At 42.0% G+C, this 17,325-nt stretch overlaps 1 protein-coding gene across 176 annotated transcripts in view; it reads left to right on the top strand.

The window, feature by feature from the left end:
- PTK2 (protein tyrosine kinase 2) overlaps positions 1-17,325 on the top strand; it is a 344,180-nt gene that overhangs the window by 299,649 nt on the left and 27,206 nt on the right. For 144 of the 176 annotated variants that reach the window (NR_148039.2, NR_148038.2, NR_148036.2 and 141 more), the window contains 2 exons: positions 1,409-1,540; positions 15,737-15,799. Coding sequence is in view for 169 of the 176 variants with exons in the window: in NM_001352699.2 (NP_001339628.1) it covers positions 1,409-1,540; positions 15,737-15,799 (195 nt within the window). In the remaining 7 variants the exon portion in view is untranslated. The remainder of the gene's footprint in view (positions 1-1,408; positions 1,541-15,736; positions 15,800-17,325) is intronic. The other 32 variants (NM_001352734.2, NM_001352729.2, NM_001352727.2 and 29 more) reach the window with 1 other exon arrangement.

The raw sequence follows: 17,325 nt of genomic DNA, 5'->3' as shown, positions 1-17,325 counted from the left end.
ACTGGGCAACATAGCGAGACCCTGTCTCTACAAAAAATAGAAAATTAGTCACGTATGGTGGTATGTGCCTGTAGTCCCAGCTACTCGGGATGCTGGGGTGAGAGGATCATTTGAGCCTAGGAAGTCGAGACTGCAGTGAGCCGAGATCATGCCACTGCACTCCAGCCTGGGCAACAGAGCAAGAGCTTGTCTCAAAAAAAAAAAAAAAGGTAATAAATAAAGCATGGCCTAAGGTACCTTTTATTTCTAAATCCTAAGATTTATTGATTTTAATGACTTTTTTTTTTTTTTTTTTTTTTTTTGGAGACAGAGTCTTACTCTGTCTCCCAGGCTGGAGTGCAGTGGCACGATCTTGGCTTACTGCAACCTCCGCCTCCCACGTTCAAGCAATTCTCCCGCCTCAGCCTCCAGAGCAGCTTGGATTACAAGTGCGAGCCACCACGCCCAGTTAATTTTTGTATTTTTTAGTAGAGACAGAGTTTCACCATGTTGGCCAGGCTGGTCTCGAACTTCTGACTTCAAGTGATCCACCCACCTCACCCTCCCAAAGTGCTGGGGTTGCAGGCTTGAGCCACCACACCCGGTCATATTTTAATGACTTAATTCAAAGATCAGGATACCCCATCTACTCAAATGCTTTCAGGTTTAATGAACTTTTTTTAACTAAAAGAACCCAGGGAGAAATACTAAAATCTTTAGTCCATTTATTTGAAAGGCAAAGCCCTAAGTGGACTATCGTCAGCATGTACATGAGGCCAACGAAGAAACAGGAAGACAGAGCATTCAGTTCTTTGGACCATGTTAATTTTTACTAAATTTTCTTGGTAAAACCAAGAACTACTCCTATAGTTTAAAAATTTATTTGACCTAGGTACAGTAACACAACCCATAGTTGCATCTACTCAGGAGGCTGAGGTGGGTAGATAACTTGAGCCTAGGAGTTTGAGGCCAGCCTGGGCAACATAGCAAGACCCCATCTCATTAAAAAGACAAAAAATTACTTATTTGAATGAAAGAGCATCTATAGTTGTCTGCTATTTATGTTCTTTTATTTAATATTTAATACTCTGTAATATGTATTGTATTTCAGCCTTCTATTACTTCTAGATTGTTTCTACTTTTTTACTATAAGTAACAATGTATTCTTTGCACATATCTTGTGTTATTTCTTTAAAATAGACCCTTACAAGTGAATCTGTGAGCTAAAGGATTGCATACTTTTTAAAGATGCTTGATGCACATTAAATTGCCCCCTACAGAAAAGTTATTCCCACAAGCACAGTATGAGAGATCCTGTTTCTCATACTTGCTGTTTTGCTTATCTTTTCTTGAAAGACACATAAAACAAGGTAAGAGCATAGGAATAGACTTATGAGACTGAATATGCTGTTTTCAACCCTTCTTCCAGGACTCTACAGTATTGGACCTGCGAGGGATTGGGCAAGTGTTGCCAACCCATCTGATGGAAGAGCGTCTAATCCGACAGCAACAGGAAATGGAAGAAGATCAGCGCTGGCTGGAAAAAGAGGAAAGATTTCTGGTAATTGTGTTTCTGAAAGGCTTCTTTGACTTTTTAAGCCCTGTTAGAGTCTACTATATTGCAAATTATTGCAAAATGTTATCTTTCAAAGCAGGAGAGTTAGTTTTACAACTACTTCTTAAAACTTGGAATAGGCCAGGCATGGTGGCCTATTTGGGAGGCTGAGGCAAGCAGATCACCTGAGGTCAGGAGTTCGAGACCAGCCTGGCCAACATGGTGAAACCCTGTCTCTACTAAAAATACAAAAAGTAGCCGGGTGCATGCCTGTAATCCCAGCTACTTGGGAGGCTGAGGCAGGAGAATCGCCTGAACCCAGGAGGTGGAGGTTGCAGTGAGCCGAGATCATGCCATTGCATTCCAGCCTGGGCGACGAGTGAAACTCCATCTCAAAAAAAAAAAAAAACTACTTGAAATAATATGGCTGGATGTGGTGGTTAATGCCTAAAATCCCAGTGCTTTGGGAGGCCAAGGCAGGAGGATCACTTGAGCCCAGGAGTTCAAGACCAGCCTGGGCAACACAGCAAGACCCTGTCTCTACAAAAAATAAAAAAAAAAATTAGCCAGGCATTGTGGCTCACACCTGTAGTCCCAAATATTTGAGAGGCTAAGACTGAGTCCAGGAGTTCTAGATTACGGTAAGCTATGATTGTGCCACTGCCCTCTAATAGATCCAGAATCCTATATCCAAAACCCTTAAGGGCCATGTGTGTTTCAGAATTCAGTATTTTTTAAATACTAAAAAGTTAGTGTAGTATGCTGAACATTATACATTATTTAAGACTCTAATAGCATCCCAGAGTTAAAACCACTAGTGTTTCTGCAGCAGAATGCAAATAATCACATTAACAGTTAAATGAAGATTATAAGATGCTTCATCGGTTCAGGTTTTACTACCATATTAGTTTGTTTCAAACATAAAAAACACACTTAACATTTTCAGCACTTTTTAGGTTTTGGAAATGAGGATAGAGGAATGTGGACCTGTCCATTTATTATCTTCATTTTAACAGAACAGGAAATAGAGATCTAGAGAGACCCTGGGCCACAGAGCAAGACTCTGTCTCCTAAGGAAAAAAAAAAAACTTGCAATAATGGGTTATTTGCTTTTTTAATTATCTTTTAGGGATAAATTTCTCTAAAATTTTAGTAGTGTCATTATGGGCTCAGAAATATGAGCATTTGTTTGGTTTTTGCATTACCACATTGTTTACCCAGAAACAACTCCTGCTTCCATGTCAGCTTACGTATAAACTATTGCATCTTGCTACTGCAGGCTGTATAACAAGACAGCTAAGATTTGCCTTCCTGGCATTTATGACTGATGTGAACCTCCTCCCGGATGTGTCTGGACATATGCATGGGAAATGTCTTCTTTCAGGCAACCCTTATTGAAAACCACTTCAGAAGTCCCTTGGGGACAGAGAGGAAGTGGTGGGACAGAGCAATCTCTGTATGTTACTTGACACAAAGGTCCTTTTAGACTCCTGGTCCCTGTTGCCAAGCAGTTCTATGCCCTCAGCCTCAGAACTAAGGACTGTGAGAACCCATTCCCCACTCTCCTTGAACCCAGAATAGCTATTTCAATCTTCCTGTAGTTGCCTCAATCGTATTATGGCTGAAAGAAGCCAGGATTCATAATTTTGAGCCAGTAACTTTACCTGGTCTCTCATGCTTTGTATCATTAAACATTCACTGACACTAACTTTGTGTTAAATTTAACTAATTTAGAATTTCGAAAGCATAGGATAAAACTTTCCTTCTGAATTAAAGCAAATCTTGAGATTGTAAGGCAGATGGGAAAAAAAAATTGTTATTTTTGGCCTGGCACGGTGGATCACACCTGTAATCCATCCCAGCACTTTGGGAGGCCAAGGTGGGCAGATCACTTGAGGCCAGGAGTTCGAGACCAGCCTAGCCCACATGGTGAAACCCCGTCTCTACTAAAAAAAAAAAAAAAAAAAAAAAATACAAAAATTAGGCAGGTGCAGTGGCTCATGCCTATAATCCCAGCACTTCGGGAGGCTGAGGCGGGCTGATCACTTGAGGTCAGAAGTTCGAGACCAGCCTGGCCAATGTGGCAAAACCCCATCTGTACTAAAAATACAAAAATTAGCCAGATGTGGTGATGCATGCCTGTAATCCCAGCTATTCAGGAGGCTGAGGCAGAAGAATTACTTGAACCCAGGAGGCGGAGGTTGCAGTGAGCCAAGATGGCGCAGTGTACTCCAGCCTGGGTGACAGAGTGAAACTCCGTCTCAAAAAAACAAAAATTAGCCAGGCATGGTGGCACACACCTGTAGTCCCAGCTATTCAGGAGGTTGAGGCATGAGAATTGCTTGAACCCAGGAGGTGGTGGTTGCAGTGAGCCAAGATGGTACCACTGCACTCCAGCCTGGGTGACAGAGTCAGACTCTGTCTGGAAAAAAAGAAAAAATATGTTATTATTTACTACCACTAATCTGAGTGAATTAATTTGGATATTATATCTATTCTAAGAACATATCTACTGTTCTCTAGTCCTACATTTTAAACCTATTTTTTGTCTAGATAGCCTCTTTTACCAGACAGAATTGATTTGTGTTTTTAAAAGTAGATATTATAAATTCTCCAAACTAGAGTTCTTGTATTTCAGTCCCACGTATGACTGCATTTGGACAAAGGGTTTGCTACCAAATGTTGTGGTACTGCTGTGATGTTGCTCTGACAAAGAAGAACATAAGGAAGAGCAGAAGAGGACCCTGTGTGTCACTAGGGGGACTTGGGGGAGGCAGCAGAGTATAGATAGCATTTGAGCCAAAGCTTAAAGGAGAAATTGGAATTTTTAGGGCAGACAGGCTCAGGAAATACATTCCAGGAAGAGCGAAGAGTGCGGGTAATGACATGGAGTCAAAAGGCTATATTCCAGCCAGGCACAGTGACTATAATCTCAGCTTCTCGGCAGGTTGAGGCAGGGAGATCGCTTAAGTCTAGGAGTTTGAGACTAGCCTGGGCTTAGCAAGACCCTGTGGCAAAAAAAAAAAAAAAAAAAAAAAAAAAAACAGTAAACCCTAAAGGGAGGAGGATCAAGTACCCAGAATTCCTACAATATATTATCTAAAATGTCTAATCTCCAACAAAAAATTACAAGACATACAAAGGAACAGAAATATATATGAATGATAGACAAAAGAAAAAAAGACTGTTCTGGCTGGGCACAGTGGCTCATGCCTGTAACCCCAGCACTTTGAGAGGCAGAGGTCAGGAGTTCGAGACCGGCCTGGCCAACATGGTGAAACCCCATCTGTACTGAAATACAAAACTGGCATGCCTATAATCCAGGCTACTTGGGAGGCTGAGGCAGGAGAATCGTTTGAACCCGGGAGGCGGAGGTTGCAGTAAGCCAAGATCGTGCCACTGCACTCCAGCCTGGGCAACAGAGCAAGACTCCGTTTAAAAACACACACACACACACACACACACACACACACACACACAAACCGTATTCTAAGAACTTCCTGTAGCTAGATGTGAGCAAAGCAGAGCATGTTTGTGGGGAAATGGAAAATACTTCTCACTATGTGGTGTTTTTTTTTTTGTTTGTTTTTGTTTTTAACTTAATAACCATGTAATTGGAGCATCTTCATTTGGTCCTAAACCTGTCTGTTGGGTAACCTCTGAGATAGTTTGCCTGGTGCTAAACTTGGAGGCCATGATGGCATCGAGGCACTTTCCCACTCAAGTACCTTTCCTTTTTTTTTTTTTTTTTTTTTTTTTCCCGGAAACAGGGTCTCACACTGTCACCCAGGGTAAAGTGCAGTGGCACAATCACGGCTCACTCCAGCCTTGACCTCCTGGGCTCAATCTGTCCTCCCACCTCAGCCTCCCAAGTAGCTGGGACTACAGTCACGCACCACCACGCCCAGCTAATTTTTGTATTTTTGGTAGAGTTTCATCATGTTGGCCAGGCTGGAACAAGTACCTTTCTTAATGCCTGTGAGATGGTATTGTATTTTTCTCTTTGCTTGTTTTCCTTACTTAGACTGAGCACCCCATGAGTGCAGAGACCATGGACCATGTCTTTCCTATTCCCCATTCAGTCCACCATGCCGAGCATATGGAAAGCTGTCAGTGTTGACTGATTAAATGAAAGTTTCTTTTTTCTCTTTTATGAGTTTATTTTTTTCTTTTTGTAAATGAGTGTTTTTTAACTCATGCCTTTTCTCATGCTGCTGTGTCTGCCTGGAATGCTCAGGGAATCTGCCTGAGGAACACCTTTTTGTCTTTAAAGATTATTTTTGTGTCATCTCAAGGACGACACATTCCCTACACCAGGGTTTCTCAGCCTGGGCATTGTTGACCTCTGGGGCTGGGTAATTCTTTGTTGTAGGAGGCTGTCCTATGAATAGTAGGAGTTCTTAGCAACATCCCTGGCCTCTACCCACAAGGTGCCAGAGAACCTTACTGAGCGCCAAGCGTGAAGCTTGAATTAACTTATTTTATTATGATGTGCACTACTGCGTTCTCTCCCCCAACCCCCTGCACTCTCACACATGCTCACTCTCACTCTCTTTCTCTAATAAAACGTAAGTTCCTTAAGGGCAACAACTGTGACTTAACTGCCTTTATCCTGCTTCATTTTTCTTCTAATGTTTCTCACTGTATGACAATGTCTCACTTGTTTTCCTGTCTCCTCCACTAAAGTGTAAGCATCACAAAGATGGGAACTTTCTTTATTCAGCACTCTCCCCCAGCTCCCATCGTACCGTTTGTTCAGCAGTAATAAGGCTCAGCCAGCATTTATTAAGCGAATGAATGAATGTACCACCGTACAGTGTTAAGCATCTAAACGTTAGAGGCCCAGAGGAAGGAGGAGTCCCGGACAGGAATCATAGCATTGGTGTCACTGTTTTTCATCTAAATGAAAAATAAAAACAAGTCATACATGAACCCTGGGGAAGTAGATATTATAATTATTTTAGAAATGAATAAATTAAAATTTAATATACATAAAAGTCACAGGGGACCTTTTAAAATTCAGTTCCCCAGGACTAGAGAACTGCAGTGGATCTGGAGAGGCCAAGGACCTAGAGAGATAACAAGCACCCCAGTTGATTGTTGAGACGTGGTCCCAAGGTCACTCTCTGATTACTTAGGCTTGGCAATGCTTTTCAAGATTTGAAGCAGATGGCATCTCAGAAAGATCACCTTAGGGCTGGGCACTGTGGCTCATGCCTGTAATCCCAGTACTTTGGGAGGCTGAGGCGGATGGATCATCTGAGGTCAGGAGTTCAAGACCAACATGGCCAAACCCCATCTCTACTAAAAATACAAAAATTAGCCAGGCGTGGTGGCACTCTCCTGTAATCCCAGCTACTCAGGAGGCTGCAGCAGCAGAATTGCTTGAACCCAAGAGGCAGACGTTGCAGTGAGCTGAGATTGTTCCACTACACTCCAGCCTGGGTGACAGAGTGAGACTCTGTCTCAAAAAAAAAAAAAAAATAGGACCACCTTAGCGTTGCTTGCTGACTGATGGCTCAGAAGGCAAGATAGGAAATGCAGAGATCCAATAGGAAGTTGAGTGGTCATTCAAATAAATGACAGCAGGGTCTAAGCTGGAAGAGGCAAAGTGGGAAGGAGCAGAGAAGACGGACTTAAAAGGGACAAGATTTGGTGAATTGGTATAGGAGGTCAAGAGGAAGGAAGAATCCGGGACAGGAATCATAGCATTGGTGTCACCAAAAATAACATTGTGCTACCAAATGAAATAAAATTCAGAATGAGGAGTCCATGTCAGGGAAACATGATGATGCCAGGTTTGGACATTTGGGATATGCAAATGGGAATGCAGAGGAGGCAGCTGGATATAGGGCATAGAGCCCAGAGGAGGTGGTCTGCGCTGGAGATGCAGATTTTTAGACAGCCGCATGGAAAGCTTGGTGCACTGGGAATAACGCCTGGTGCGGTGTAGTGTGAGGGCCACCCTGACCCTCTGTCAGTTGGAAGGTAGTGTGTGTCGGTTGTAGAAGCTCTCGTGACACTGTCAAGTGGTGATGGTGGCAGCTAGGTCTCTGGTTATGAGCACACGTGCTTTATGGTCCTTAATTTGGTGAAGAGACTCTAACAATGGTAATTATATCTCGTTGTGGTCCTTTTTATGCTGTGTATGTGTAAAAATTACTGTTGGTTTCCATGGTATCTGCTATTTACAAGCTTGTTTCTGGGTCTTGGCCTTTGGCATGAGCTAGGCCCAGAGCTATTGGTCTGTGTCCTTGCAACCACCAGGCCAGGCCGCTGCACCTACTTTTAGGTTAATCAGGTCATTGTTGAAGCTGTGTGTCAGAAGTCTTTCTCTCCTGTTAGGCCAAGGAAACTTCCAATACAGGGCTTCTCAGACTGCATGGAAGGGCCAGTTTGTATCTTTCTTTCTAAACCGTTGCAGACCAATACTCTTGTAAAATAAAATTTCAAAATCATTGACTAGAAAAAGACATAAAAATATAAGCCAGACTTTTTTGACAGCCCAAAAATTACTGTTTCAAATTGCTATAAAAATGTCTAAAGATGCTTACCAGGCCGGGTGCGGTGGCTCACACCTGTAATCCCAGCATTTTGGGAGGCCGAGGCAGACGGATCACGAGGTCAGGAGATCGAGACCATCCTGGCTAACATGGTGAAACCCCGTCTCTACTAAAAAATACAAAAAATTAGCTGGGCGTAGTGGCAGGTGCCTGTAGTCCCAGCTACTCAGGAGGCTAAGGCAGGAGAATGGCGTGAACCCAGGAGGCGGAGCTTGCAGTGAGCCGAGATCGCGCCACTGCACTCCAGCCTGGGCGACAGAGCGAGACTCCATCTCAAAAAAAAAAAAAAAAGAAAAGAAAAGAAAAAAAGATGCTTAGCTTCTGTTTTCATCTTCATAAACTGGTTCATTCCTAGACCCACCCAGGCCTACTGCTCTGGCCCTGCCATTTACTTCAGTAAGGTCAGCTGTGCACCCTATTAGATAAGTTCTGTTCTTGTTTGAAAAATTAACTTGCTTTGTCAGTAGTATTACCCAAATTTTAGATGTCAGAAGACATCTGTTTTGACATCTGTTTTCAGAGATCACATCATCACATCATTTTTTATGGTTGCTACTGCTAGTCACATCTCTTACTTTTTGAGTACTTCAGTGGGTCAGGAGTCCCTCCTCTGGATCTCTGCATTATCTCAACAACCCTGCACAGAATGTGTTTTATGATAGCAGCCCGGATGCTCTTGCCCAAGGTCACATGGCCCCACAGCAGATACTCTGTACTATACCTAGTGCTCCTTTTTTTTTTTTTTTTTTTTTTTTTTTTTTTTTTTTTTAATTGAGACAAAGTCTCACTCTGTGGCCCTGGCTGGAGTGCAGTGGCACAATACTAGTTCACTGCATCCCTAACCTCCTGGGCTCAAGTCATCCTCCTGCCTCAGCCTCCTTCCAGAGTAGCTGCGACTACGGGCATATGCTACCAAGCCTGGCTAATTTTGTTACTTTTTTTTATAGAGATAGGGTCTCACTTTGTTGTCCATGCTGGTCTCAAACTCCTGGGCTCAAGCAGTTCTCCCACCATGGCTTCACAAAATGTTGGGATTACAGGCGTGAGTCACCACGCCTGGCCCCACACTCCCTTTTCTTGTTCCCAGATCAGATACTGTCCTTTCTGAAATAGTTCTGTGCCTGCAAATATACTCTGAAAGCTGTCCTACAAAGTGAGTGCCAGAGATTGCTGGCAACCTTAGTTAGAACCTCAGTTGGTTGAAAGAGCTTTCTTTCCCATTGGGCATTGCTTAAAAATAGAGTAACTTTGCAACTTGCTTTTTTTTTTTATTACTGCATGCACAATAATTTTCTAATGTGATACTATGCTTAAAACAGGATTTTAATTTTAAATGAGAAAGCCCTATCTATATAAAGCCTACTTTGTGTTTTGAGAAAGAAATATGTGAGCATTTTTCCCTCACATAGCAGATCCAGTCAGTCTGAATGAAAGATGAATGCCGAGACGGGGAACTAAAGAGCAGTGGCAAGAGGCTGTCTGTCTGAAGCCAGGCTGCTGTCCCTGCTTCTGCTACGCAGCAAGGCCAACAGCTCTCCTATTTTTTCCCTCATACCAGATTCCAGATTTGAAAGCAATACAGTATAGTGAAAGGAGAAAAGACTGAGCTATAAACCTTAAATTTGAAGTTTTCTAGAGCCATACCCACATGAAAGTAGAGACTGTAGCTAAGCCGAACTGTTTTTTTTTTTTGGCTTGTTTGTTTTTGTTTGTTTTGAGACGAAGTCTTACTCTTGTCCCCCAGGCTGGAGTGAAATGGCGCAATCTTGGCACACTGCAACCTCCGCCTCCCGGGTTTAAGCGATTCTCCTGCTTCAGCCTCCCGACTAGCTGGGACTGCAGGTGCCTGCCACCATGCCCGGCTAATTTTTGTATTTTTAGTAGAGATGGGGTTTCACCATGTTGGCCAGGCTGGTCTTGAACTCCTGACCTCAGGTGATCCACCCACCTCGGCCTCCCATAGTGCTGGGATTACAGGTGTTAGCCACTGCACCTGGCTGAGAATCTATTCTTTCTGATTGGCTGTCTTTGGCTGTATTGCTCTTCAGTTCCCAATAGGCACTCATCTTTCATTCAGGAGGTCCGTGTATGCTCTATGAAAAGAAAAAGCTCAAGTATTTATTTCATTCACAGAACACAAGTAGATTTTATATGGATAAGCCTTTCTCATTTTAAAATTAAAATCCTGTCTTTAGGAAAATACCACATTAGGGAATTATGCATTAAAGAAAGTCATTTCATGAAATGTATATGGAAATAAAAATAGATTAATTCATGTAAACACATGAAACAATACCTTATTCTATAGGCAAAAATATGAGTTGCATTTTTTGTTTAAGTAAAACAGTAAATATTTCCTGCCTGTAGAAGGTTCTTATTATCTGTTGACTGATTGAAGCCCACCTCCACTGTTTAAGAGCTGTGTTACCCCAAGCAACTAAATCTTTCTAAGTCAAGTTCCTCGTCTATAACATATCTCTTGTGCCTTGGATATTAATTGAAGCATTCCTTCAGCAAATATTTACTACACATCTATGTGCACAATGCTGCCAGGCACTTCTTTCATTCTGATAATGACTGACTGAGGTATTATTCTGCCTATTTTACAGGTGAGGAACTGGGCCTAGAGAGGTTATATGCCTTGTCCAAAGAGGCATGGACAATCAGTTCACTAGAAAAATGCACAGGGCATTCATTTCCTCCACCTGTTTGTCCGGTGTTCTAGCAGGTAACAGAGACGCAGCGGTGAGGCAGACAGCTTCATAGCCTCTGTCTTCATGGAACTTAGCATCTCATGATAAGAAACAAAAATGGTCAACTATTTGGGGAAAGGGAGGAGGAGAGGAGCAAATTACAACAATATATTATACAGTATTTTCTTTATGAATTGGTTGAGAGTTTTAAAATGATAATACAGTGGTGTTAGGGTACAGTGAGAGAAATGCTATCACATATTGCTACATAGATGAAAATCAGGACAGCCTTGAGCAGTTTGGAAACTTATACCAAGATTTTTCAAATGTTCAAACTCTTTGACTTAGTAATTCCTTTCTTAGAAATCTGCTCCAGAGACAGGAAGATCACTTGAGCACAGGAGTTTAAGACCAGCCTGGATAACATAGTGAGACCCCCCACCCCCAACCATCTCTAAAAGAAGAAGAAAAGAAATCTGTCCCAGGGAAATAATCAGGGACTTAGTCAAAGATTTGTATACAAAGGTGTTCATCTACAGCCTATTTATGAGGGATTTTGAAAATGACCCTAATATCCAACAATAAAAGAACTATTTATTTTAACTCTTGTGTGGCACCAACTTAGTACTTTGCAAATATTAACTCATTTCATCCTCCTAACAATCCTATGTGTTGGTTACAATTACTGTTCCATTTTAGAAATGAAGAAATTGAGGCCCAGGTCACACAGCTTGTAAGGACTGGATCCTCATTAGAACCCAGGCCACCTGGTGCCACAGCTCCCACCCTTCACTACCATTGTCTATTTTATGATGATAATCATGCAGTGGAACGTTGTGCAGCCTTAAACATTGTTTTGTCAGTTTGCCCTATATAAATGTTATGTGAAGGCTGTAGAATCATATGTTGTGGTTCCATGTTTGTAAACATACATTTACACCACAGTATTAACTAATGATAATTACTTTTACATTTTAATTACTCCATAATAACTAATGATAATTACTTCCAAATGGTAAGGTTGAGTGATTTGTAATTTTTTCATCTATTTTTGCAGTATCTTAATTTTTCTACAGTAAGTGCATGTTTCTTTTGTTAGATTATTGACAAATGAGGTATACAATATTTTAAAATAACCAAAATCATGTAACTATTAAATGACCACATCGTAAGTTGGGCCTGGTGGGTCTTTTGTTTTCTTAGACTATAGCTCTAACTGGGCGTGGTGGCGTGCATGTATAGTCCCAGCTACTCCAGAAACTGAGGCGGATGATTGCTTGAGGCCAGGAGTTCGAGGCTGTAATGCACTATGATTGTGCCTGTGAATAGTCGCTGCACTCTGACCTGGGCGGCAGATCAAGACCCTGTCTCTTAAAAATAGAAACTGTTGGCCTGGCGCGGTGGCTCACGCCTGTAATCCCAGCACTTTGGGAGGCCGAGGCGGGCAGATCATGAGGTCAGGTGATCGAGACCATCCTGGCTAACCCAGTGAAACCCCATCTCTACTGAAAATACAAAAAATTAGCCGGGCGTGGTGGCGGACGCCTGTAGTCCCAGCTACTCAGAAGGCTGAGGCAGGAGAATGGCATGAACCCGGGAGGCAGAGCTTGCAGTGAGCTGAGGTCATGCCACTGCACTCCAGCCTGGGAGACAGAGGGAGACTCCATCTCAAAAAAATAAATAAATAAAAAATGAAAATAAAAACTTGTCCTTTCTGCTACAGTAGAGTCAAACCTAATCACCTCCACTCTCTGTTTAGAGCCCTTCAACAGAACCCCTAAGCAGAACCAGCTCCCAGCTGGTCCCTCAAGTGAATGGGCAGAAGAGGAAAGGATAGTTTCAGAGTTTTTTAAAGTTACAAGAATGGTACAAAGAATTCCCATGTTCCCTTTACCTAGAGTCTCCAGTTGTTAACATTTGACCTCATTTGCTTTGCATATTTGTACATACCATTTTTTCTGAACCATTTGGAAGTAAATACCAGATATCCTGCTTTTTAACTCTTAAATAGTTCAATGTGAATTTCCTAAAAATAAGGATGTTCTCTTAAATAACCATAGCTGAGTTAACCAATGTCAGGAAATTAACAATAATACAATACTGTTAGCTAATCAATGGACTATTCATATTTTACCAGTTGTCCACAGAATGCCCTTTCTAGAAAAAAGTCCTGGATCATGAGTTATATTTAGTTATCACATCTCTTGAGTTTCCTTTAAGCTTGAACAGTTCCTGGGTCTTCCCGAAATCTTTCCTGACCTTGATATTTACATTGAGTAATGTTCTGTGAATTGTCAACCTGGAGTCTCGTCTTCTCAGGTACTTTTTCTCAAAGTCCATTGTGTTTTGGAATATTTTTTCTTAAGCATATCTGGGATGTTTGGGCCCCACAAAGCTGCCTCTTCATTCAGGCAGTGGCAGAACCTCAGCATTCCATGGAATAGGATCTGTGAGTTCTGCTACATGGAATAGGACCTCCCCAGTGAGTTCCCCTTCAGTTGCCAGTTGGAATCAATGTATTACGTGTGTTTGCTTGGTTTCCTTTCTGTCTATTCATGTCTATCTTACCTGTCAGAGAAGATTCTATCCTAGAAGTCAGGAACTACCTACCTCTGAATTTTCTCTTGAGCTATATTTCACACCCAGCCACAGCTGTCTATATCTAATGGGATAGTCCTCTCTGGTAAAAAACACAGCATACTTTCTGCCATAGTCGCCAACTGCATGCCTCTAGGTTTGACTTCCCCTGTATGGGCATTAGTTATATATATCACATCTGCAGTAAGAATTCATTTTTTAAATTATTGTTCCTTGATATTATAGTACATATAAACACAGTACAATGTTTTAAGTTATGCTCTTCAGAGTTCAGAAATATTTATTCTGAACTTTTCTGGTTTACTCATTGAGAGAGTTCTAACAGAGCAGAGTCTTGCTTAGTCACCCAGGCTGTAGTGCAGTGGTACAATGGTAGCTCACTACAGCCTCAAACTCCTGGGCTCAAACCATCGCCCCACCTCAGCCTCTCCAGTAGCTGGGACTCAGGCACACACCACCATTCCCAGCTAATTGTTAAAATTTTTTTCTTTGTAGAGATGAGTTCTCACTATGTTGCCCAGGCTGGTCTTGATATCCTGGCCTCAAAGGGTCCTCCCACCTCAGCCTCCCAGATAAGGTGAAATTGCAGGCACACACCACCACACCCAACGCTACATTTGAGGATTTAGGTCATTTTTCATCTATATTTAACTATTGCTTTTAAATGAATATTTTTACGTGAAAGGGAACATGTTTTTTTATATAGTAGCATGGAGGTTAATTCAGTCAACACTGATGTGTTGAGTGCGCACCAACCAGGAACTGTGCCAGGCACTAGGGATATGGGGCTGATATACATGAGCTGTTTTGTAATTCTGTTGAATGAACAGATAAGTAAGTTGTGACTTTTGCCCTCTTTGCTTACTGTCTGCTACTGCTGTCAGGGCTGTCTATTCTGTTTCAGGATGCCTCTGATTATTAGAATGTTTTTCCATAAGTGATCCAAAATCTGCCCTAAATTCAGGGACAACACACAAGTTTCACCTTTTCCCATATGGAATCCCTGAGGACTGTTAACAACAATCAGCCAGAGCCCCCTTTTAGTGATTAGCCATCAGGAGCTCCTTTACCCACTTCCTGGTAGGAGCTGTTCTCAGACCTCAGCCAGCTACCTCCAGGCACTGTGCCTGGGAGGGAAGGAAAGGGGGAAGGGAGGAAGAAGGCAAAGGACAGTGCAGGGCCCCTGCCCTGGAAAGTTTGTTTTTACCTCTGAGCCATCAGAGGATCACTCTTACCTTAATGGTGGCCGTGTCCTTCACCAACTTCCTACTACACCCTGGCACCCACGACTGACCCCGCTTTGATTAGAGATAGTTAAGACAGAGACAAAAAGCCTAGTAGGAACTGATACAATGAAAAGGGTTTGGGCTACAGCACTGGAATTGGAATTGGAAAAGAAGGGAGAGGTGAAGCTCATTTCTCCATCCCCCACCCAACAAGTGCTTGCAGATGGTGTGCTCAGTGGCAGGCTCAGGTGTGGGAAATAGGAGATACACAGACGAATCAGACATCAAGATGCTCCATCTCTAATGAGGGAAGTAATTATGCCTGATAGGTGCCAACATAGAGGTATCTGTAAGGCACAGGCTAAGAAGCGACCAGCTCTGCTTGAAGAGGGAAATATGCTGCCAAGAAAGGGTGTCTGGCTCAGCCTTGAAGAGTGAACAGAAGTTTTCCGGGAAGAAGTATGTGGCCAGTGTTCACGGGCAAAGGGGAGGCAGGAGCCACTGTGGTAGAAGGCCCGTAACCCATACTGCGGGAGCACGGGGTTGTTTTCATGAGGAAAAGCCTTTCTGCCCTGTTCCTTCACCATAAAGGCACGTAGCCTACTTCGTTTATTCTGATATTGGTGAAATTTCCGTACTATTATTTACGTAAAATCTAGATTTCTCTGTTTGGTTTCTATATTCTAGATGCAGTGTGGGAAAACAGTCTTGTAATTGAACTCATTTGCTACTTTGGCAAGACAGCTAAATCCGTATAAGCCATATTCTGTCAGAAAGCCGCAAGTAATGCCTGATATTTTTATCCTGGGGTTGCGGGTATCTCAGTGAAGAAGAAAGCCATCTGTGCTACTTGGAATAGAGGTAAAGTGCAGGTTCTCCAGCACTGGGTGGGCCAGTGCAGGTACCAGTCTGTAAGGTGTGCGTGTGTGGAGAGGAATGCAGTTCTTCCCAAGGCAGCCAACCTTCATTTATCATCACTGGAATTTTTTTGAAACGGGGGAACTTTCAACTCTTCTTATTCAGAGGACAATTGTGTTAAAAAGGAAGGAATTTAATACAGAATCTGTCAAAAATTTTCAAATCAAAAATGAAATTGTTTTGATTTTGTTTTAATTTCTTCAGAAACCTGATGTGAGACTCTCTCGAGGCAGTATTGACAGGGAGGATGGAAGTCTTCAGGGTCCGGTAAGCCTGAGTTTTCAGCAGGATTTGATTTCCAGTTCTCCTGTGCGTGGACCATCAGTGTTTATGTCACAATATATCCAAGTTTACTAATATTTGTAATAGGGAACAGAATATTCTATAAAGTTAACATTTTAAGATTATGAAAATCTATGATGTACAGCCTAGAATTTTTATTCAGATACAGAAGTTTTCTGCACTATTATTGATAAAGGCTTTTTTTTTTAACTTTTATTTTAGTTTCAGGGGTACATGTACAGATGTGTTATATAAGGAAATCGCATGTTGCAAGGGTTTGTTATACAGGTCATTTGGCACCCAGGTGATAAGCATAATACCTGATAGGTAGTGTTTTGATCCTCACCCTCCTCTCACCCTCCTCCCACCCTCCACCCTCAAGTGGGCCCCGGAGTCTGTTGTTCCCTTCATTGTGTCCGTGTGTACTGAGTGTTTAGCTCCCCTTTATAAGTGAGAACATGTGGTATTGGTTTTCTGTTCCTGCATTAGTTCACTTAAGATAATGATAATGACCTCTAGCTCCACCCATGTTGCTGCAGAGGAAATGATCTCATTCTTTTTGTGGCTACATAGTATTCCATAGTGTATACATACCACATTTTCTTTATCCAGTCTATCATTGATGGGTATTGAGGTTGATTCCATGACCTTGTTATTGTGAACAGTGCTGTGATGAATATAAGCATGCATGTGTCTTTATGGTAGAAAGATTTATATTCCTTTGGGTGTGTACCCAATAAGGGGATTGCTGGGTCAAATGCTACTTCTGTTTTAAGTTCTGAGACATCGCCAAATTGCTTTCCACAGTGACCGAAGTAATTTACATTCCCACCAGCAGTGTCTTAAGTGTTCTATTTCTCCACAACCTTGCATCTGTTAATTTTTTGACTTTTTAATAATAGACATTCTGACTGGTGTGAGATGGCATCTCATTGTGGTTTTGATTTGCTTTTCTCTAATGATTAGTGATATTGGGCATTTTTTCATATGCTTGTTGGCCATGTTTATGTCATCTTTTGAAAAGTGTCTGTTCATGTCCTTTGCCCACTTTTTAATGGGGCTGTTTGGTTTTACTTGTTCATTTGCTTTAAGTTCCTTATAGATGCTGGATATTAGACCTTTGTCAGATGCACAGTTTGCAAATATTTTCTCCCATTCTGTGAGTTGTTTATTCTGCTCTTAGTTCCTTTTGCTGTAAAGAAGCTCTTTAGTTTAATTAGGTCCCATTTGTAATTTTGTGTTTGTTGCAGTTGCTTTTGGTGTCCTCGTCATGAAATCTTTGCAAGGGCCTATGTCCAGAATAGTATTTCCTGGGTTTTCTTCAAGGGTTTTTATAGTTCTAGGTTTTACATTTACGTCTTTAATCCGTCTTGAGTTGATTTTTGTATATGGTGTAAGGAAGGGTCCCAGTTTTATTCTTTGGCGTATGGCTAGCTGGTTGTCTCAGCACCATTTATTGAATAGGGAGTCCTTTCCCCATTGCTTGTTTTTGCCAACATTGTCAAAGATGA

The sequence above is a fragment of the Homo sapiens genome, chromosome 8 (genome assembly GCF_000001405.40).
Source record: "Homo sapiens chromosome 8, GRCh38.p14 Primary Assembly".
Classification (NCBI taxonomy): Eukaryota; Metazoa; Chordata; class Mammalia; order Primates; family Hominidae; genus Homo; species Homo sapiens.
Note: the sequence above shows the minus strand (reverse complement) of the source record. Positions and strands in the feature narration are given on the sequence as shown.